Source organism: Homo sapiens, chromosome 6 (genome assembly GCF_000001405.40).
Source record: "Homo sapiens chromosome 6, GRCh38.p14 Primary Assembly".
Taxonomy (NCBI): Eukaryota; Metazoa; Chordata; class Mammalia; order Primates; family Hominidae; genus Homo; species Homo sapiens.
In genome coordinates, this window is record NC_000006.12 from 38,968,327 (window position 1) to 38,990,490 (window position 22,164).

Sequence of the window (22,164 nt, forward strand, 5' to 3'; positions counted from 1 at the left end):
CAGAGGGCACCATCAGAGGACAACCTATAAAATAGGAGAAAATATTTGCAAATCATACATCTGTTAAGGGTCTAGTATCCAGAATATATAAAGACCTCTTACAACTCAACAATAGTCAAATTACCCAATTTAAAAATGGGCAAAGGATTTGAATGGATATTTCTACAAGGAAGATGTACAAATGGCCAATAAACACATGAAAAGATACTCAGCTTTGTTAGTTATTAGGGAAATGCAAATTAAAATCACAATGAGATATTTCTTCATTCCCACTAAGATAGCTATAATCAAAGACAGGGACAACAGCAAGTATTGGTAAGGATGTGGAAAAATTAGAACATTCATACATTGCCAACGGAAATGTAAAATGGTGCAGCTGCTTTGGAAAACAGTCTAGCAGTTTCTCAGAAAGTTAAAGATAGGGTTACCACATGACTCAGCAAACTTGCCTCTAAGTATATACCCCCAAAAAACTGAAAATATACATCCACCCAAAAACTTGTATGTGAATGCTCATAGCAGCATTACTCATACTAGCTAAAAAGTGAAAACAACCCAAATGTCTGGGGCTGATGAACAGATAAAGAAATGTGGTATATCCATGCTGTGAACTCTTAGTCAGCCATAAAAAGGAATGAAGTAATACATGCTACAATATGGATGAACCTTGAAAGCATGCTAACTGAAGGAAGACAGACACAAAAGACCATATATTGCATAATTCCATTTAATGAAATGTCTGGAATAGAGACAAAGTAGATTGGTGATTGCTGGGGTGGGAAGGGGGAATGGGAAGTGACTGCTAATGGGTATGGGGTTTCTTTTGGGGTTGATGAAAATGTTCTGGAATTAGATGATTTGATAGTAGTGATAGTTATGCAACTCTAAAAACATATTTTAAAATATTAAAGTATACACTTTATAATGAAGTATATATTTCATAATTTATATGGAAATTATACCTCAATTATAAAGGTTCAGAAATATATATTTATTGAGCATCTACTGAGTGCCAGGCACTATCTAGGTGCTGGGTTGGCCACCATGTCTAAGTCCCTAGCTGATATTCTAGACTGGGGATAAAACAGACAGTTATTGATAAACAAGGTAGTACATAATATCCTAAGAAGAAAAGTATAAAATATGCTAAGAAGCAGGGGAAGGGACAGAGTGATGGGAGAGGTGTGCCGTTTTAGATAGAACAAGGTCCGTCAGGAAAGTCTTGCTGACAGGGTGAGAAAAACCTGAGATGTGAAGGGAGTGAGTCTGGAACTCTGAAGGAGGGAACACCAATGAGGCTGGGGTGGGCCTGGGGAGGAGGCTGTTATGGATGGAGGAAAGTGAATGGATAGGGGGGTGGTGAGATAAGAAAAGGTGTGTGTGGGGGGGAGTGGGGGGTGGTGTGTGGCAGCAGTAGCAGGGACTGATTGTGTAGGGCCTTATAGTCTGTAAATAAGAACTTTGGTTTGGATTTTGGATTTTGCCTTGGATGCAATGGGAAGCCATTGGATGGTTCTGAGCAGAGGATGAACATAATCTGATTTAGGGCTTGAGAGACCCCTCTGGCTGCTGTAGGAAGAATAGCTAGTAGAGGACAAGGGTGGAAGTGAGGTTGTCACCAGTTAGGAGGCCATTCCAAGAATCTAGGCAAGAGGTGGCGGTCACTTACACCAGGAAATAAAAGCAGAGTTGGGAAATGGCCAGATTCTGGATATGAAGGGATGCCTCTAAATCGCCTCTTGACCCAATACCTGGATCAAGCAACAACTGTCCCAGGGCCACCTGAACGAAAACTAGACCTTCCTTGTAGAAGGTGTGTTTCAGAGGAGTTGGAAGAAGACAGAGAGGCTGTGGCTCACACTCATGTGTTAATACTTTTTGAGCCTATCACTTTCCCTCATTGATCTATTGAACATTTGTGTGTTCTTCCGAAATAAGTGGGGCTCGATATCTATCCACGATCCAGAGGCTCCTCCCATTCAAGTCACGCCTCTCCTTTCTTCTGCTTTTATAGGCTGGGTGGGATTCTTTTCAGGTGCCAGATTCCCCTTAGGAGCTGGAAAGATTCATGTGGGCTTTGGTGGGAAAATCCACCTTTGCTTGTTAATACTTGGCCCATTTCAATTCCTGATTCTCCAAGCAGTGAGTGCTCTTCCATCCTCCTTCAGGCTCTCATTGCAAAGTGTCTCCCTGTGACCCTGAGCCCACGAATAATCCCTAATCTTGCACCCTGCAGACCCTCTCAGAATATCTGGCCATTAACCACAGGATGCCATTTAAATGGTGTGTCCTGACAGTGTCTCTGGTTTCTGACATACTTCCCTCCCCACCCCATGAAGTCTCCAGCTTCTTATAGTCTCTACCAGCAGTTACCATAAACACACACTGGTTCACAATGTCTCCATTGATTGCTTTTCCTTGTACAGGGATTATGCCTCTAGAACTCAAGAAAATTTGGGTCCACAAGGGCTTGCTTAAGAGTTAATTTCCAATTGCAGTTGTGCAAACATGATTCTCAGACTTCTTCATTTTAGCTAATTCATGTGGGAGGTCACAAGCATGGTTCTCTGCCTGGGACATCTGGTCCTAAATGGTGTATTATCTCTGGAATTATGACATTTCTCATCGTGGAGTGTTTTCATGTTTAGTTCCAAGGTGGTGATTTAATCTGAGGAGCAGCTGAGAACTAGGTCTTAGACAGTTGCCCCTGAATGTACCCGTCACAGGGCTGAACTGTCTCAAATTTCATCTCAGAAAAATGATCAAACATACAAAGAAAACCAAAACAAGCAGACAGAAAACACTGTGAGCCTGATATCTAAAAGGAATAAACAGAAAATTAAATCTTTACAGAAGCGTCTGCTAAAACGCCGAAAAGGATTCTAACCAAAACTTACAGCAAAACTAAAAAATCCTTTTTCCCTACAAATACCTGTGATAGCATTGTAGTTGCCTCTCCCACCATTGATCTTGTTCCTCATTGTCTCCAAAGAATCTCAAACTCTCTAAAAGCCCACCATACGTGCCTTTTTCTCTCCCTTCCTGACCCCCAACCCACGCTTTTCCGGGTGGTGCCTCCAGGTCTCTGCTCCATGCATTTCTCTGATCCACACAACCAAAGGCCAGGCCTGTTTGAACAGCAAAGATTTTTTTTTTTTTTTAGAAACAATAGAAGGAGGCTATAATCATTCAGAAATTAATTTTTCATTCTAATCCTGCTGTAAGAGTTGTGTTTCATCATAGTGAACTTTCTCCTATGTTACAGAATGTAGAACTATCTCAATGGGGCAAGGACAAGAAGTACATGCTCGAAAGCTGATTCAGATGTCAATGCAGCAGGTATGTGACAAGAGACTGCTCCTGCTGCAACATTATTGCTAGAAACCCCACAATCATGGATGTTACCACATTCTTCTCGTGATGCTCAATCCTGGTTTTTCCATTTTTGTTTATCATTACCTGTGAATTTTAAACCTCAGTCTAGTTTCCTCCTGATATTCGCATGGAAAGCTTATTCCATTTTCTATAGTATATGCTCCATTTTACCTTCACCAATTTTTTGTTCGTTTTATGATTTGGGAGACACACCTTCTGATTTCTAAGAATGCATCTCTAGCAGTCTTGGAATTTCATGATCAATATGAATAGGTAGTACTTAAGGAGTGACAGATTGAGACAGTTAAATTTCCATTTTCAGTTAAAGGCAGACTTTCATTTTTCATTAACGGATCATTTCAGGCAAAGAAGGAATATTTAAGGATGCTATGTTTAAATACTGATAATGGTTTTCACTAATAATTGCAAGCTGAATGGAGTGTTGAGAGAGATTTCCCATCACACCTAATAAATACACAGGACATTAATTTTCTAGAAATGCTCTGTAGATAGCCATTTCAGCTGTAATAAGAAATTATACCATTTATAAAAATAAAATAAGATATTGGTTTATTTTTAAGCTTTTGATCTCAGAATGTCTGTACAAACTTTGGTGCAGCTTTTCCCTGGGAATTAATGACTAGAGAGGGTTAATGGGCTAAAACTCTGTTGGGTCATCAACTTTTCCAGCTAGTCATTAATTCTCAAATGCCCTAAGCCTCAATCTTTATCACTTAATTAAATTCAATAATTTATTTAATTTATACATGTATATCTCAAAGCAATTATACATAATTATTTTTACTCGGATCAAATGTTTCACTCTATTGAGTGATTTGACAGTTTAACTTTGGGCCTTAAATAATTTCTTTAGTTTCTGTGGGTGCAAAACTTTAATTTAAATACGGTGTTCATGTTAACTGTCTTTGGAATACTAGCCTTTATAACTTCCATGGTCTGTTTGTCAAAGTGGGGTAAGTATTGATTATATGGCATAATCAGAAAAGAAAACCAGACATGAGCAGGTGCAGCCATGTTGCCGCCTTGAGGGACACCATGTTTAGCATAAAGCTGGCATTGTGGAACACAGAGTGGGGAACCAGAAAGTAAGTGGGTCCATGATGACACAAACTAATCCTGAATGCTGTTTTCCTCTGAAACCCCAGTTGTATAGACGGCACATCCCCTTTACTAGTTAAGCCGGTGTGAGTTGTATTTTCGCTTACAGTTGAGACATGGTATATATGCCTTGCCATATATTTATCATGCTCACTATTTTGTAGTTTTATGTAGTTCAAGATAGCTGATTCCTGTATAAAGGTATTAAAATGTCTAGTAAAGAAACTATGTTCTCACAGGGCAGTGATGGTTTTGTGACATATTGTTTAAGGTAGTTTGTTTAATCAAGTATTTATTTAGAAAGTGCTTAATAAGTTATGTGGTTTCAGGAAAGTGTGGAGAGTGATGATAAAGAATAAAGCTTAGCATTATGGTAGTAAATGTCACCAAACGTATTGTCTCCAGCTTTCATGAGATCATGTGTATCTTTCTTTGTAACTATGAATAACTGTGAACCAGTCTTCTGGGTTTTGGGGGTGAGTCAGTTCTGATTTACCTTAGGCAGGACAACTTGTTACTGATTCCAAAATACCCGTTCCCACCATTAGATGGTGCACACACTGTACTTACACAAGTCTGCCTTCAAGTTTTAATTTCTGTTCCTTTCTGAACCAGGGGTGGCAGAATACAATCATTTTGAACCCACTTGATTCTAAGTAATTAGCTTGTACCAATTACTTGTACCATAGCAGGAGAAATGATTGTATTGACATATAATTTTTAAAAATGTGTTCAAAACAGAGTATTCACATGGTTTTTAAAAAAAGTGCACATTTTGTTTTATTAAAATCATAGCAAAAAGGTTACAAGAAATAAATATGAACTTATTTTTGGATACAGGGTGGTTGGGTATTACTACAAAATTGCCACCTTGGCCTGGAATTCATGGAAGAATTACTAGAGACGCTAATTACCACTGAAGCCAGTGATGATTCTTTCCGAGTATGGATAACTACGGAGCCCCATGATCGATTTCCAATTACATTGCTTCAGGTTTGTTACTAAACGTCTTTTCATCGAGAGTCATAGTAATAAAGATGACATCATTGACATTGTTGAAAGATGGGAACACAACAGGGCTTTTTGGTCCTGTAGGGTCTGGACTGCAAGATCTTATACTATAATACTATAATCATCAAAATCTTGACATCAAGGTTAGACTGTAGTAAATATTTCCATAGAAGAGCTCTAAGACTTAGTACTAATTTATTGAGTTTCAGCTCTGATCAATGTACTTAGTTTATACAATGCTGAACTTTGCCCCCACTTTATGTACCATAAGCATATTGTTTTCTGATATACAGGTTGAGCATCCTAAATCTGAAAATCGAAACCCGAAATGCTCCAAAATCTGAAACATTCTCAATGCCAATAGAATGCTCAAAGGCAATGCTCATATAACAATTTAATGCTAATATTCCAAAATCTGAAATTCAAAACACTTCCAGTCCCAAGCATTTCAGATAAAGGATATTCAGCCTAATATTGTAATTTCTATTTTATTCTTTATAGTAATTTATAGAAACAAAAGCACTGTTTTCTTTTCATGACAGACCTCTCTCAAATTCACTAATGAGCCACCCCAAGGTGTACGCGCAGGTTTGAAAAGAACATTTGCTGGAATTAATCAAGACCTTCTGGACATCAGTAATTTACCCATGTGGAAGCCGATGCTTTACACAGTAGCATTTTTACACTCCACTGTGCAGGTAACTGCAGAAAGCAGTTTTCACATTTAGGAGATGGCCAGTGGTGTGCTGAGGCCCCATTGGAGAGGCTTCCAGGAGGGTGCTATCCGTTGCCGCTCTGTCTCCTTACTCTCTTTTCCTTCATAGCACTTTCCCCACCTGGTATAGTGTATATTTGTTTATGTATTTTGTGTGTGCCCCCTGCCCCAACCCCCAACCCTGACTATTGGAATGTAAGATTCTCCAGGGTGAAGACTGTCTTTTCGTAACTGCTGACTCTCCTACTGTCACAACAGCACGCAGGGGATTGTCAGAGCTCAATAAATATTTGTAGAATGAGCTAATGGATTATAAAGATAGGAGCTTGGTTTTGAAAGTGCCTGTGCTGGCCAAGAATTTTATGTGCACCATCTCCTGTAATACTAACAACCACATTTCAAGATAGGATTATCACCATCCCAAAGATGTTAAGTACTCTTCAAATGTGGTTGCTAGGATTGGCTGAACTAGGATTGGCTGGCTCTGATTTATGTATTGTTTTGACTCTATTTATTACCTGATAGTAAAAGTGGTGGTGATGTTGGAGGAGGAGGAGGAACAGCAGCTCCCTGTCTTTCTCAAGTCATTTGCTGTTTGCTTTTACAGTCTTAGTACTGACGCAGTAATTTAATAATTTTATGATTACCAAGCAACTTGTCTGTTACGATTTTTTAAATTATTGTTAGTGTTTTGTTCTGCATCTGAATTTTATATTTTGTTCTGTAATTCAAAAGCTATACATTTTCAATGCACTGGATCCATTCCTTGATTTCACAGAGAATTGAAGAGATTCCTTTAAGCCCTACCTGGAGTTCTTTCTTTCCTGGGGTTGGGGTGAAGGACAAAATAAATCAGTTGGTCTATCCCAGGAGTCAGGCTTTTAGCTGTGTACAGTGATGGGCAGAACTTCACATTACCTCTCCCTGCCCTGTCCAAAGATGGAGGGGAACTTAATGCTCATCCCAGAAAATACTGTGTGTATTTACCCCTAATTCATTATCCCTACCACTTTACTAGGTTCCTGGCTGCCCAGGAGAGGGATGTGGTGTTTGTCTGCCTCCCAACACTGAGAAAGTTAAAATCAGATTAAATGCTTTGCTGGTGGTTATCTTTACTAAGTTCCATTGTGGCCTTTGGATTGTCAATTACAGCTTTCAAGTCACAGAAGCCTATTTCATACATTCTTATCTGGGAATTGTTCGCTTTGCTAGACCTTATCACATCCTAATACAAATATTGCTTTAACTCTGCTATTTCATTCCCAATTCACAAATAATATTTTATGATTGTGTTCCCAGTAGTGATGATTCAACTCTTCCACTGTGCTTATCATGGAGAGCTGGTTGGGGGTATTTGCCATATGGTTAATGTGGCAACCTGTGTTTTTAGTGGCCATTATCCAAGTGCTAAAGGGAAGAAGAGCAACAGGACCATGGTCCAGCCATGGGGCTAAAGTGCCCTTGCACTTAACACCACATGTGTTTGGGTTAAAACGGAGGAAAAATATTTTCACTGCTAGGGCGGTGAAGTTACCAGTGGAGTGTCCAGGAATAAAAGGCTGAATATCTCTTAAAATCAAATAATAGAGGGCTAGAAATAACACTTCACTAAGAGTCAGGAGGCCTGGACTTTCGTGCTTGCTGTGAAATCAGTTAGCTGAAAGCAGTTAGTTGATCAAGTTATGTCTCTCTCAGGGCTTCTGTTTCCCCATCTGTGCAGTTAGAGGCAGAAGTAGGTGATCTTTCAAGGTTTTTTTCAATTTCTAAAATTCCATCGCCCAATTCTGTGACAATACAGTGAGTGTAGGTAATTCTTTTTCATCAATTTCAGAAGTGTTTACTGTGATATTTCCAAAATCTCCTGGGAATTTTAGACATATGTTTCAGAAATATCACAGAAGTGTTTGCTGTGATTTTGTGTAAATATTTTTTTTACTTGGTTAGGATAGGGACAGCTTGATAGAAAAATCCAAAATTCTTCAGAGACTTGTTGTCTTGGGCCAGAAGCATCAACATCACTTGGGAGCTTGTTGGAGGTGCATGTCAGATCTCGCCTCAGACTCTCCTAAATCAGTCTGCATTGTACCAAGATACCTACATGATTTGTATGCACCTGAATGTCTGAGACTCAACTGCTATAGGAAGGAATGTTGTGGATTAGATTGTTTGTGACTTACGTTTCTTTTCTCTCTCTAGTGTTGAGTATAAGAGCCAAACATCTGATTTGTTAATTGATTAATTGAGTCCTCCAAATTAAAACAGGTATCCGTTGCTTTAAACAAACATGTTATATGTACTTTTGTTCTTGCAGAGACAGACTGAAAAAAGAATTAGGCACAGGATCTGAAGCTCCAGAGGGGTTCATGCTGGAGTTCATCCCACATTACAATGCAGAACCCAGGAGTAAAATAGCCAACTCCCTGCCTGCTCTCCAGTAAAAAATGTAAATTCTCCCTTGGAATCCTGGTTTGGGTGGCATTATGCCATCAGCTTACCCCAGTTCATAGGCATGATATGTGGATTCTACTTCAGTTGCAGGGAACAAAATGAGCACCTCTCCTTTTCTGGGAGAAGGGGAAGTAAATTTGGCTGGTCAAGGATAACTTGGGCAGAAGAGTGGTGGAGGGCGTGGTTTGCTTTATTCTTGAGGTGGGAGCAGGCTTTCCCAGGAGGAGGGTGCCCTGGGTGCTGCCATGGGAACATGCATAGATGCACGAGGCAACGCCGCACTAAGCTCTGCTCCCTGCCACTCCCCTTCTCCTCCAGCAACTTACTATCCACACAGAGCAGTAGCAGCTACCCTGAGAGGGGAAGTTACTGCTGAAGCCCCCACCCCTGCTGCAGTCCAGTGATGTCTCTGCTTTTGCCAGTGGCCCTTCTGCCTTCCTTATGGGAGCCTTTTATTCCCAGGACCCTGGTGTGTGCCTGGGCTCGGTTTGGCTGCCACTCCCTGAGAATGTTTCAGCATCCTCTTGAAGATTACTTAGGAGGGAAGCTTCTCTCTGGCCTCGGTATTCTGTCTCTGTGCTTTCCTGGGTGGTGTAGCATCCAGTGTAGCATCGTTCTGGGCTTGAGAGCAAGCCCACATTCACCCTTTGGGATTTTAATTTTAAGCACATTTTCCTCCAAAGTCTTAGTCTTTTGAAACTCAATCATTACATTTTTAGCCACTTCCTAACACCTCCTGCAGAAGATCAGAATAATGTTCTATGGGTTATTTTTTTCCTATTGATTGTCAATGTGCCACTCTTTGAGGTGTGTATTGGACCGAGTAAATGTCTTAAGTGGTCTTCTCAGCCAATTATCTACAATTGTCTTCTCAGCCAATGCCTGGGCCCCAGAACAGGACACTTAAGTCAAAATCCCCAGGAGGCCAAAAGGAAGGAGCTCAGTCTTTTTAAAAACTTCCAAGTGATCCTGATATGTGGCAAGAATTGAAAATAATGGCCAAATGGCCACAACCCTTAAGGGAAGAGTCTTGAACCACTTTTACATCCATTTCATAGTCTGGAGTTTTTCTCCCCATCACCTTGGTTTGTCCACATTGAACTGCGTATTTCTTTATGACTTTTCAAACAGCTTATATATAACTCTGTGAGGTGAGGTGCTCTTTTCTTTTTCATTTTTCTTTTTTAGCTAAAGTTATTGATTAGGATCTCTAAGGGCCTATAGTGGCAGTTGCAAACTTGGAAATTCTATCGTGGCCCTTAAAAATTACTTAGATAGTAAATAAAAGGGGCCCTATCAATAGGGCCCAGGGAATCTCACTATTAACAGTTCTTCATTCGGAAAAGTGTTTGCTTCCCCTACATTTCGTTTTCTTTCTCAAGTTTGAGCCTTGATAAACATTCCTTTCAAATTTAATAGTGCATATAAAGTTCTTGCTTTGGGGAGAGATGGTTATAAAATTCCTCATTTAAATGTCTTTGAATGATTATGGTAATATGATACTGGTTTATCTTTTACACTCTGCCCCATAGTGTTTCCCAGAGGTTCTGGCTGCTTCTGTCAACTATTTTTACCTAGTAAAGTTTCCCTTACATTGTCTAGTGTGGCTTGTATTTTTCTTTGTATATTAGCTCCAGTTATTGGAGTTAGACAGTTAACTCCAGTTGTCTGGTTTTGAAGCTGTGAAATGATTCTGCAGCTCTGTGGGAACTGCTGAGGTAGAACCTAACGTAAAATTGGAAATGGCTCTGACATCATTAAAATGATTGAACAACTTTTCATCAGTGTTCTAAGGAGTTTTTCATGATTCCACATTTTCCATATTTCTCTAGTAGTTCAGAGTTTTGTATATTCTGTGAAATGAAAAGAAGAAACTGTATTAATCAAATTAAGTAGGGAGTGGACTGGTTTTCCTAAAATCATCAGTCACCATCTTAATGATGGACAGTCCTCTCCCTTCTGTCGAATGAAGTTTTAACATTCAAATTTGTCTGCATTCCATGTCTTGAAGCACGTGACCACTGAGTTGCTGCTACTCACCAGAACTAGCCCGCTACTGCAGTAGAACCTTCTGTCTGCAGCCTTTTTCTCCACAAGTCACAGGATTTGTGTTCCTAGTTTTGCTCATGGCCTTTGCCAAGCCTGGAAGTCTCTTCTCTCCTCCTTGTAAAGACCAGCTTCAGTTTTATTCTTCCCAGAAGCCTCTGATTGAACGTCTCCTTCAGGCTTATCATTGTGAAATTTTGACAGTTAATTATATTCACTATCCCATTATTCTTTTTCTTGTCTCCAAGTCTTATTTTTGCAACAGATTAAAACTTCTTGAAAATGCATCCTTTTTGATATTTTTTATTGTATTGCATAGGACTCATCCCATGGTTTCAAAAATGTTAATTAAACTGAAGAAATTCAATATTCCAAATAAGTCCAGCAAAACCCCTTGCTTTGATCTTCCAAATGAGTTCTTAGGTTCTAGTTGTTTGAGTCTATCCTGATAGTATTCCAAGGTAATTTAAAAAAATAGCAAGAAGATGAAATGACTTCATTTGTGAAAGAAAAGGCACCCACTAAGATTTTGGGCTTTTTTTCCCAAGATGAGCTAATCAGTTTATGACTTTAGTGAACCAACTTAAAAAGTAAATGCTTTAGATGAAAATTGGTAGTAAGAAATATAAACATGAAGCAAATCTCAGCATTAGGGCAATTTTCAAAACTCACATTTTAAAGAACAACTAAATTGCAGTTGCTCAGTGCATATAAATAGGAGTGTTTCCATAGAGTCAATTTGAGCAGCTTTAGTAATTGGAGTTATTTTTCATTTGGCCACCCATCTAATTGAACATTAAAATTTAAAAATTAAATCAAACACATAGGTAAAACTAATGGTATAAATTCTGATCCTCTTTTTCAAAAATGGGAAAACATTCACATTTCACTAATAAGTCATTAGCATTCTTCTCTTCAAAGTCCTCAAGATGGAAGAAATTCCAAGAACTAAAACGGTTAGCTGTATGAATTTTCATGTTAATATCCCATAACCCTCTCCACCCACCCTTGCTCCTGGTATAATCTGGAAGAGGCTCACCTCAATGTTTCTGAGTCCACTTCAGAAATTCCAAACACTGGGTGAGCCTCAGCATTGACCTCTTACAGAGAAAGGGTTCCTTTTGCCCTGGTAATAATCGACCAGTGTTTATTAGGCAACCATGATTCTTTCCCCCAAGGTGCAAAAGGGGAGACAAAAATAGAAGACGTGTTTTTCACTGTCAAGACTCAAAATCTGGTTACAGGACCACATATATCAATATGAAACATCTTAAAAAACCCACAAAACAAAAACCAAGGCAACATGAATGCTGGGACTAGGAAGCAGGAAGCTGTCAAGAGAAGCAATGTTAGGGACCAAGGCTCCCACCCTTGCACCTAGGACCACACAGTCTCTCCTCCCTTCCAGGCTATGGCCTCTGCTCCTCCTCACCTCTTCTAAGTACAGGGTGGAAGATGGTTCTTCACAGCTCCTGAGTTTACAAGTTTTCTTAGTCTAAGCCCCAGATAACAATTACAAACCCTAAGTCCAAATTCCTGGGAGAAGGGGTCTGGTCAGTTCTTTTTGGGTTGGCTGTCTACCTTGGATCAAATTAGCTAAGGGATAGGTGTGGGTGTCACATAGCGCAAATCTCTAATGCCTGACAACCTTAACTAAAGAAGTTTAGGTCTAGAGGTAACAGTAGTACTTTACGTTTTTAAGAGCTACTCCTATTATTATTATTATTATTGTTGCTCTTAGTCTGATCTCCCAGGGTCAGAACATCTAGACCCAAATTAATCTTAATGGTTTACTAAATACTTTAAAAGCATACCCTGAAACTCAGTAATTCAAACCTTTGAATTTTCTGAATTCCTTCTCTGACTTGTTCATGAACTTGTCCCAACAAAAATTTATTTAGATTTTTTTTTAAATGGTGGAATTATTCAGGATCGGAATCATGGAACAGCTGCAGCAAGAAGGATTGGAATGGCTTGTGAAAACGGCAGTGTGTGTGTGTGTGTGTGTGTGTGTGTGTGTGTTGAGTTGGGGAAGGCAGAAAAGAAAAAGAAAAGTTAGTATATACTTAGAGGTAAAAGAGTAGAATTAAACATTCCCATAGATGTATAGGGATTCTACTCTCCACATGAGTCCTCACCTTAGGCACTAGAATTAGGGTCTAGGAACTAATCTAATAAATCCCTGGCCCTTCCTTAGAGACTGATTATGTGTTGCGATAGGAAAAGCTGATGCCATAGAAACATCTGGACTCATCTATGTGGGTTGTTGGATCATCAATTCTTGGAGCTATCAGGTCTAATACTTGCCATACCTTTAAAATGCTCTCTGGAATATCAAAACAATTGAATCATTTGCTCTGAGTCCAGTTTGATTATTTATTGGTGATTTGACAATTGTAAACAGTTAGCCACTATTGCACAGGAGTCTCTTAGGCCCTCTTTGATTAAGTAGAGGGAAACAAATGAGGGTCATGTGAAAGTTTCAAGACAGACACGTCATGTATACAACAGAAATTTTTAGTTTTCAAAATCTGAAATGGCAAGATTGCAAAGGGAAGCCATCACAGAATCTAAGTGCTCTTGAGAGAGGTTTAGATAATCCAACTGAAAAAATTCAAACCCTTGCATTTGACATTTCAAACTTTCAAGAGTCCATTGTAGAATAACAGTTCATTCAACAGGTATTTGTTGAGCATCTACTGCATTTTTTGAGTTGTCAGTGGAGACCTAGACTTTTTTTAAAACCCAAGAACTCCAACTTGGCAAATCTTTGGAGATTTCTTTATATAAACCCCTTAGCTATAGAGCCATGAAGTAATATTTCTAATATGGCTATATGCCACATAACGTTTCAGTCAACATGGATTGCATATACGGTGGTGGTCCTGTAAGAGTATAATGTATTTTTACTGTACCTTTTCTGTGTTTAGATGTGTCTAGATACACAAATACCTACCATTGTGTTACAGTTGCCTGCAGTATTCAGTCCCGTAACATGCTGCACAGGTTTGTAGCCTGGGAGCAATAGACTACATCATGTAGCCTAGGTGCGTATAGGCTGTACCATCTAGGTTTGTGTAAGTGCCCTCTAAGATGTTTGCGTGAGGAAATTGCTTAATGATGCATTTCTCAGAAGGTAACCCCATCATTAAGCGACATGAATGTATATCCAAAATTGTATATACTATTCTTTTAAACTAATGTCAATTTATTTTGATAATATAGCCTTAATTTTACTGTATTTTGATAGCAATAAAAATGGAATCAGGTACATGCAATACTTACTTTTCTTTGGTGTTTTTAAGGAGCGACGAAAATTTGGCCCCTTAGGATGGAATATTCCCTACGAATTCAATTCTGCTGACTTTTCAGCCAGTGTTCAGTTTATTCAGAATCACCTTGATGAATGCGATATTAAGAAAGTGAGTGAAATTATGCCTTTTTTCCTGTTTTTATTGCTCTTCTTAAATCAGGGTTCTACAGTCATTTGAAGTCTATGATAAGGTGTGAATTTGCTGAGCCCCATGGAGCCCCCTTTGAAGGGACTTGTTGCTGTAATCAGGCACTTGCTGGGGCAGCCTGTCCCTGCCCCCAACACTCACATACCTCTGAAGCTAACTAACTCAGTGTGTTGCAAAATACCGCAGCCTTCCTCATGTTACACTCAGGGACCACAGTGCACTTCAAGAGAAGGTGTGCTTTAGGTCAAGCTTCTCCTCACTGGTCCTACTCCTGCCTCCTCAGAAGTGAAGATGGTATCTGCCTGCCCATGCGAAAGTTCTTTCTCACCTTAAGTCACTTCTTAACTGCTCAGCTTATGCATATGAATAACAATACTTTCTAGTAATGGTCATTCATCATCATATGACACTTTGCAGTTTTCAAAGTTCTCATGTGTGCAGGATCTCACTTTTATCTTCACAACCCTGTGAGATCAATAAAAAAGGCATTATTATTTATTTATTTATTACCCATTTTACTGATGAGGTAACAGACAGGAGAGACTAAGAGACTTCCTCAAGGTCACAGAGCTGAGAACGTAAAATCTGTTGTCCTTTCACACATATAAAGGGTTGGAAATTTGTTTTTTCTATAATCTTTGGCAAGTTAATGAGCCTTAAAGCCTGTTTCCTCATCTATAAAATGAACATTGTTTCTGTGAGGAACGAATGAGTTAGTATTTGTGAAAGCACAGTACACAGTACCTAATAAGAGCTCATTCAATATGACTCTCTGCAGTCTGGCCCCCTCTTCTTCCACAGAGTAGGGCTTCAAGGTAATTAGAGATTCTGAAGCTTCCGTAATGGGGTGGTAAGCCATGATGAGTGTTTACTCTAGTACCAAACCGTCATTTTTCCTTGAAATGACAAAGGGATATGAAATTAAAAGTAAGGCAGTCTGATGAAAAGTTATATTCTATGTGTTCATATTCTGTGGTCATTTATCATTTTGGTACATACAAATAATAGTTACCTTAAAATAGTTGCTTTGAAAGGCAACCAAGCTGAAAAATAAAATTTTAACCAAGAAAAAGTAAACAAAAAGCAAATATCCTTATTTCTCGTAACTCAAATGTATCAAGGGTTTAAAGAAACTGCTAAACTGCAATATATTGCTAGTATAAAATTGCTATAGAAATTAATAAATATTTTGATGTAGTTTTAGCACATAGAATGAGATGCAGAGGATGGCAGAGGATTGCATTGAGGAAAAATCTTGTGGATAAATAATTTTCTTGTTGTTCTCGTAATGATTCCAGAAAATACATTACTAAGAAAGCGTATTAAAGCAATGATTACTTGATTTTTCTCCTTTTTTCACTAAACACCACTTTCCTCCTCTGTAACAGCTTGGCATTACTACAATGAGTATTATAGGTAATTATATCCCCAGAGTGAAAATTAGTCTTTTTCCCTATTTTAAATAATATACGTGCAATATACTTACCAGTGTTTAGTATTGTAGATTTTTTCTTGGTGAACAAACTGTAGTGGTTCCAGCCATGTAATAGTGAAAGAGTTATTAATATAAGACGATGAATAATTTTAAATGTGAGTCTAGTGAGTGCTTCCTTTTCCAGACCTTTCCTCTAGGGAAAGACCCGAAATGTTTATAATGATGTGTTTGGGTTGACAATTAATAATCCTTTTTTACTTTTAATAAAGGGTGTATCATGGAATACGGTTCGGTACATGATCGGAGAAGTACAATATGGAGGCAGAGTGACAGATGACTTTGACAAACGTCTACTTAATTGCTTTGCCAGAGTAAGTCAATTTAGAAAAATAAAGTTTGGAGACACATTTCACTGTATTTTCCAATTTTTTTGTTTGTAATAGGTCTGCCAAACTCAAGCATACAGCAGAGCTGCTGCAAAGAATTAGCCAAGAAACAAATGCATGTGTGCGCTTACACACACGCACACACATGCACACACACACACACACACACACACAACAACCAGCAATTGGGCCAGGCATGGTGGCTCACGCCTGTAATCCCAGCACTTTGGGAGACTGAGGCGGGCGGATCACGAGGTCAGGAGTTCTAGACCAGCCTGGCCAATATGGTGAAACCCCGTATCTACTAAAAATACAAAAAGTAGCCGGGCGTGGTGGTGAGTTCCTGTAGTCCCAGCTACTTAGGAGGCTGAGGCAGAAGAATCACTTGAACCTGGGAGGCGGAGGTTGCAGTGAACCGGGATCGCACCACTGCACTCCAGCCTGGTGACAGAGTGAGACTCTGTCTCAAAAAAACAAAAACAAAAACAAAAACCAACCAACAATCTACTTGTGGTGCAGAGCAGAGCAGTGGTCAGTTCTCATTGCTCTATAACTCCTTTCCCATGTAGATGAAACTGCTTGTGCCCAGGGCCTCTCCCCCACTGCCCCTCCTCCATCTTCCGCATTCCTGTGCACCTCACTTGTGAGGAAAACACTGGCCATCATTTCTCTGCCTCTTTCTCTGAGTGAAAGTCTTATGGTGATTTCAAGCCCCAAAATAAGTGATTGGGGGATTAATCATAATTTGAGTTTTCTCATCTCTTCTATTAGGATAGACAATTGGAAATTGAGGAAGTGTTCACTTTTTCTCTGTGCCAAATAAAATCCACATATAACATGCTGATAAATATTTTCTAGAGAAAATTGTTTATTAGCAATTGTGGCTTTCACATCAAGGATGAATGTAATAAATAACACCTACCAGACTCAAACTCTTCTTAAAATGTTTTACATTTTAGGGAAGTAATATATAACACCTAAGTGAGAAAAAACCAGATGTCTTTTATGGTTATTAAATTCTTTATATTGGAACCTATACCGGTAATTCTCTACTTAAATGATTCTTTTTTCTTGACAAAATTAAAGCCTCAACAACAAAGCACAAGCTTTGGGAGTATTTTGATAAGCTGGGGGTTGACTAGAAAACGGATTTTTAACCTTTACTTGTTTTAGCAAGTTTTTCTTGAAGCTACATATGGAGAACTGTGAAAAATAATAAGTGTTGGTGAGAATGTGCGGAGGGAGGAGCCCTGCTGCTGGGAGGTCAAATGGACACAGACCTCCTGGAAAGCAGTCCAGTAATACTTACTGAAATTAGGTATCTCAGGTAGACATATCTCAGAACATTTCTAGAAAGAGTCCACAAATGGACATGTACAAAAATATTCATGGCAACATTGTGTGTGGAGCTGAAGGCAAGCATCATAGATGGTTTTCCTGGAAGCAGAGGTGGAGATTTGCATTCAAGTGCCTCCTCCCCAGCCTTCCTGCAAGACATGACCTTGGCTGAAGCAGCTGCCTCCTGCTAGGGCAGTTCCTGGGGAGGGACAATGCTGTGAGTCCACAGTAGCCAACACTCCAGACAGCGGTGGGGAGTGAGTACCTGCTCCTGAAAGAGGATCGAGTGGCACATCATAGCATCCACTACAAAAACCTAAGACTCCTAAGAGAATAGATAAGATGTGGTGGGTGAGCACCATGGCATACTATTGCTCACCCTTGTGGGGTGCAACCTGTTAGTCATAGTCATATCAAGTGTGTGATACGACTACCTTCTGAACCAGAATCCTGCTCCTGAGTATATGTCCCAGAGAAATTCTCAGAATGTACCAAATAGATTATTCATAGCATTGTTGGTGGTAGTGGGAAGTTGAAGGCAACTTAGGAATCCATCATGGGGAAATAGTTAAGTTACCTGTTGTAGAGGCCTATGGTGGCATATAATGCAGCACTTAGAAGCAATGATCTATACGACATCATGCATAGGTCTTACAAACAGTGTTGAGTGCAGAGCTTTAAAAAAAAGTAAAGTGAGATCTATAAAGGAATATATGCATAGTTCACAAGGATAAATACATGTTCTAGGACATATATCAAGTACACTTAAATAGATGCCCTCAGAGGGAAAAGGAGACAGTGAATGGATATCAGGGCAGAATGGGGAAAAATTAAAATAAAAGGGGCCTAGATTCATAAAAATAATAAACTCGGGAGTGTGAGAAACTGACCTCTGTATTTGAGATTCAAAGGAGAAAAAAAAAGATGTCTTAATAAGTATACTTTGTTAGAATAATTGTAAAAGTATCTAAAATTGGAGTTTTAGCAGCAGAGACTAAGATGTGGTTAGCTTCAGAATATAATTCACCAAGAGTAACAGCAGAATGCTGATGGGATCAAGTGCGTGGGTGAAAGAAGAGGGGAGTCAAGGTCATCCCTAGTTTTGACTTAAGCCACTGGACACAGAATGGGGCTATTTACAGACAAGAGGAAGGGCTGCAGCAGGGAAGAGTTTTATTGGCTGGGGCTGGAAATTAAGAGTTTGGTTTTGATCATATAACATTTGAGATGTCTATTAGACATCCAAATCAAGTTGTCTCAGACTGTAACTGCCATGAGGGCAGGGACTTTGTCTTATTACATCAGTGCCAAACTCTGAGCACCAGAAACAGAGCCCAACACATCTAAGTGCTCAGTAAATATTTGTTGAATAGAAGAACGAATGCATGAATGCAGGTGAACAAGGCACCTGGATGTACAGATCCGGAGGTCATGGTGGAGCTCAGGCATGGAGATAAGGATCTGGAATTCTTCAGCATGTAGACAGTGGCAACGGAAAGCTGCTGTGTTGGTCCAGAGCCTCCAGGGAGATGTCTGAGCCGGGAGCACACGGAGGGGGAGGAAGAAGTGTCGCTGTCTCAGCCTGCTCCACCTTCAAGAGCTCAAGCAGGGGGATTCCCCTCTCTGACCCCTCTCCTGCCTTTCTTCCTCTTCTACTTCTTCCCTGTACCCTGACATTTGGCATTTTGGGCCACAGAGGACTAGTGAGCTGACTTCAACCCTCTCCTAGAAACCCAAGATTCTCTGTCCTCTGGGCCTGGGATGTGCAGACTTCCTGATCTAAAAGCACAGGGTTCCATATCCAGGCCCCAGTTCATTGGCTGTTCCCAAGTAACAGCAGCTCCCTCCTCACCTGAGTTATTTTACTCCCTTCTATCATCTGATTCTGGTTTCTCTGGACTCCATTCTCAGCAATTAGTGCCTTAAGTCAAAAGTTCATCTTACTATTTTCCCATTCATTTGCCCCTGAGTGGCTTCTGTGGGCTCATTCCCTCCCCCTCTCTCAGGACTTCCCTAAGAGTGGCACAACCTTCAGTGGCTTCAATTCTCTGACTGTTGGCCACCCCACTTCCTTATCCTACTGAATCTTCTCTTTGCCCTACATCCTCTCCAACCTCCTGTCTTGTTGCTTTCCCTCATTCATTTCTCTGTCTAGCTTGGACCTGTTTCAGATGGTCATCAATAACCAGAGGTGAGTTTGGGTCTCTGGCCCTAAGGGCATGAGCTTACCACATGAACCTGGCAGCAGCAACCCTCTTGAGAAAGGCTGCACAAAAGCCTCACAGCCCCCACACCCTGCCTTCACCTGTTTGATCTCATCCTCAGCCCCAGGCTTGCCTTCTGACCAGCCACCTGCCTGCACTACCTCCACTTTACCCTAACCATGTCATCCAGAGTTGCCCATGGGAGAAGCAGCTCCACTGTAAACTCACGCCTGCACATGGCATCCTCTGTCCCTCTGACTTTCAATCTCGGGCTTGTCTTTGAACCTTGTTTTCTCTGTTCTCAGCATCTTACAGAGTCTCTCTGCTAAAAGCGATTGCAGAACTGTATTGGATGTTCATGGGGTATGACCGCTCACAAAGTAGCTCCATGTAGATTTCATATTTCATATTTTGACTTTGCCCCCAAATAGCCTCCAAATTTGGTGAAACTCAGCTATTTGTATGTGTATAAAGTGCTGGGAAAATAGTAAGAAACTTCATTTTGGTCTTATACATACATGTCATCTGACAACACAGAATTCAGTGTGGTTATTTGTTATCTGTGTGCTGAGGACCCAGGGCCTTTGCCCCCTTAGGGTGTCTTCCTGCAATTTAAGTCATCCACGTCGTGAAAAATCTAATATTTCTAAGTAATGACCATGCTCATAACACTATTCTCTTTAATAACTTTCAACTACTCTCCATTTCTTGAATTAATCACCAGTCCTCACCCTGACATCAATAGTCATCCATGATATGACCTCACCTCACTTTTCCTGTCCTATCTCTTATGACTACATTGTGTCCACCCTATATTCCATTATTCCCTTAACCTGCTTCTCATTTTTGCATCAGTTCTATAACTTTGCTTATGTGGCCTCCCCATTCCAAGTTCTCCGGTCAAACTCCTCTCCTTCAAGGCTTAGCTCCAAAAATCACCTCCTTGAGAAGACCTCAGCTGACATCCACCTGGATGTTTTTTGTTCCTGCTTTAAACCTCTTTAGTACTTTGCTTATTTTTATTTCCTTCTGACTCTTGCCTTAGTGCACTTTGTATTGTGGTTATTAAGTAATTGGCTCATCCCTCCGCTGGGTCACAAGCTCCTTGAAAGAAAGGACTGTGTGTCTCTTATCTTTGCATTCTGTTCTGGTTCTAAACTCAGCCTGCTCATGCATAGGAGTTGAATAGGATAAAACAGAGAGAATCAGTACACAGGGTATTTCAGAGCAATCACTGGATCTAAAAAGAGCTGGAGGAAGGAGATGGAGGGAAGGTACTAGAGAACGTGTGACCAACCAGAGGAAGGCACCGTCCCTCTTTCCTGTCAAGTGCTCCGAGTAATTCAGACGTCGTGCCTGCATTTCCACTCTTCCTGTCTTCCCATTATTTCCTTCCCCACTGGGAAAATTGCTGTGAGACGTAAGTCATTGCCTCAAATCTGGCTCATAGGCATTTAGCATCATTTTTTTTTCCTTTCTGAGAATAAGTCTATTCACACCAACTATATATTTGTTCTCTCACTGTTTTGTTAAAGATAATTCATATGGAATAAGAAAGGGATGTCTTAAGGCAAACAGCAAGGCAGCTGAATACATTTACTTCATGTGGACAGGGACATAATTAGCAAAGGAAGCTCTTCAACTCAAGGTGGGAGGGGAGAGTTTGCATGGAGCTCTCCTGGCCGTGTGCTGGGGCTCATTGCTGTGTGAGTGAAACTGCGCACAAGCACATCCTTCTGGTATGAGCCCCATGTCGGGGAGAAGTGGGGTGATGAAAATGCCCAGATATTCTCTTGTGTGTGGGAGTATGGCCTCACAGACTTTGCAGTATGTTCCTATTCCTAAAATGGAATTGAGGGTTGTCAAATGACTCAATCAGAGAATGGGCATGTAGAGTTGCTCTCTTCCTTACTCTTGGTGAATATCTTCTTTGGTGTTAAATGGAGGCCAGGTCAAATTGTGTTCTGGACTCTCTCTTTTCTCCATATATGTGGTAATTATTCTATCAGTAGTATTGTTAAAGCATTCTCAAAATCAATATTAAAAACTCTGTTAAAATGGAAATAAGGTGGCCCCTCTCCTTTCTTGTAGCAGTTTTCATTTAGATGCTCATCAATTTTATTTCTTTTGTTTTCTCTCACATACAGGTCTGGTTCAGTGAGAAGATGTTTGAACCGTCATTCTGCTTTTATACTGGATATAAAATCCCCTTATGCAAAACCTTAGACCAGTATTTTGAATACATCCAGTCACTGCCATCCCTAGATAACCCTGAAGTCTTTGGGCTTCACCCTAATGCTGATATCACGTAAGTCCCTGGCATTTTTTAATTTGAAGGGGTCATTTGTAACTCAGTCTGGCAAAGATGGTGCATTTCATTTTCTCTCCTAATCTCTCTCCTTTCCCCCTTTTTTTATTTTACTGTGAAAAATAGTGTCGCTTCCTGTCTCCCAATTACAACTTTGTCATATCTTGGCCTGCTCTCCTCTCACTAAATCCTGATGCTCCAGTGTTTATGACAACGTTAAGCTCTAATTTATGCATTGATTATTTCTTCTCTGTCATGTCATAAAACGAGTTGGTGTTAGTGGTAGCAGTGCTCTCCGCCGGCAGAAGAGTGGTCTGC

General features: G+C 40.1%; 1 protein-coding gene across 7 annotated transcripts in view; it reads left to right on the plus strand.

Moving 5' to 3' along the window:
* DNAH8 (dynein axonemal heavy chain 8) overlaps positions 1-22,164 on the plus strand; it is a 315,482-nt gene that overhangs the window by 253,016 nt on the left and 40,302 nt on the right. For all 7 annotated transcript variants that reach the window (XR_926078.3, NM_001206927.2, XM_011514319.3 and 4 more), the window contains 6 exons: positions 3,266-3,339; positions 5,335-5,487; positions 6,048-6,203; positions 14,020-14,136; positions 15,880-15,981; positions 21,686-21,846. Coding sequence is in view for 6 of the 7 variants with exons in the window: in NM_001206927.2 (NP_001193856.1) it covers positions 3,266-3,339; positions 5,335-5,487; positions 6,048-6,203; positions 14,020-14,136; positions 15,880-15,981; positions 21,686-21,846 (763 nt within the window). In the remaining variant the exon portion in view is untranslated. The remainder of the gene's footprint in view (positions 1-3,265; positions 3,340-5,334; positions 5,488-6,047; positions 6,204-14,019; positions 14,137-15,879; positions 15,982-21,685; positions 21,847-22,164) is intronic.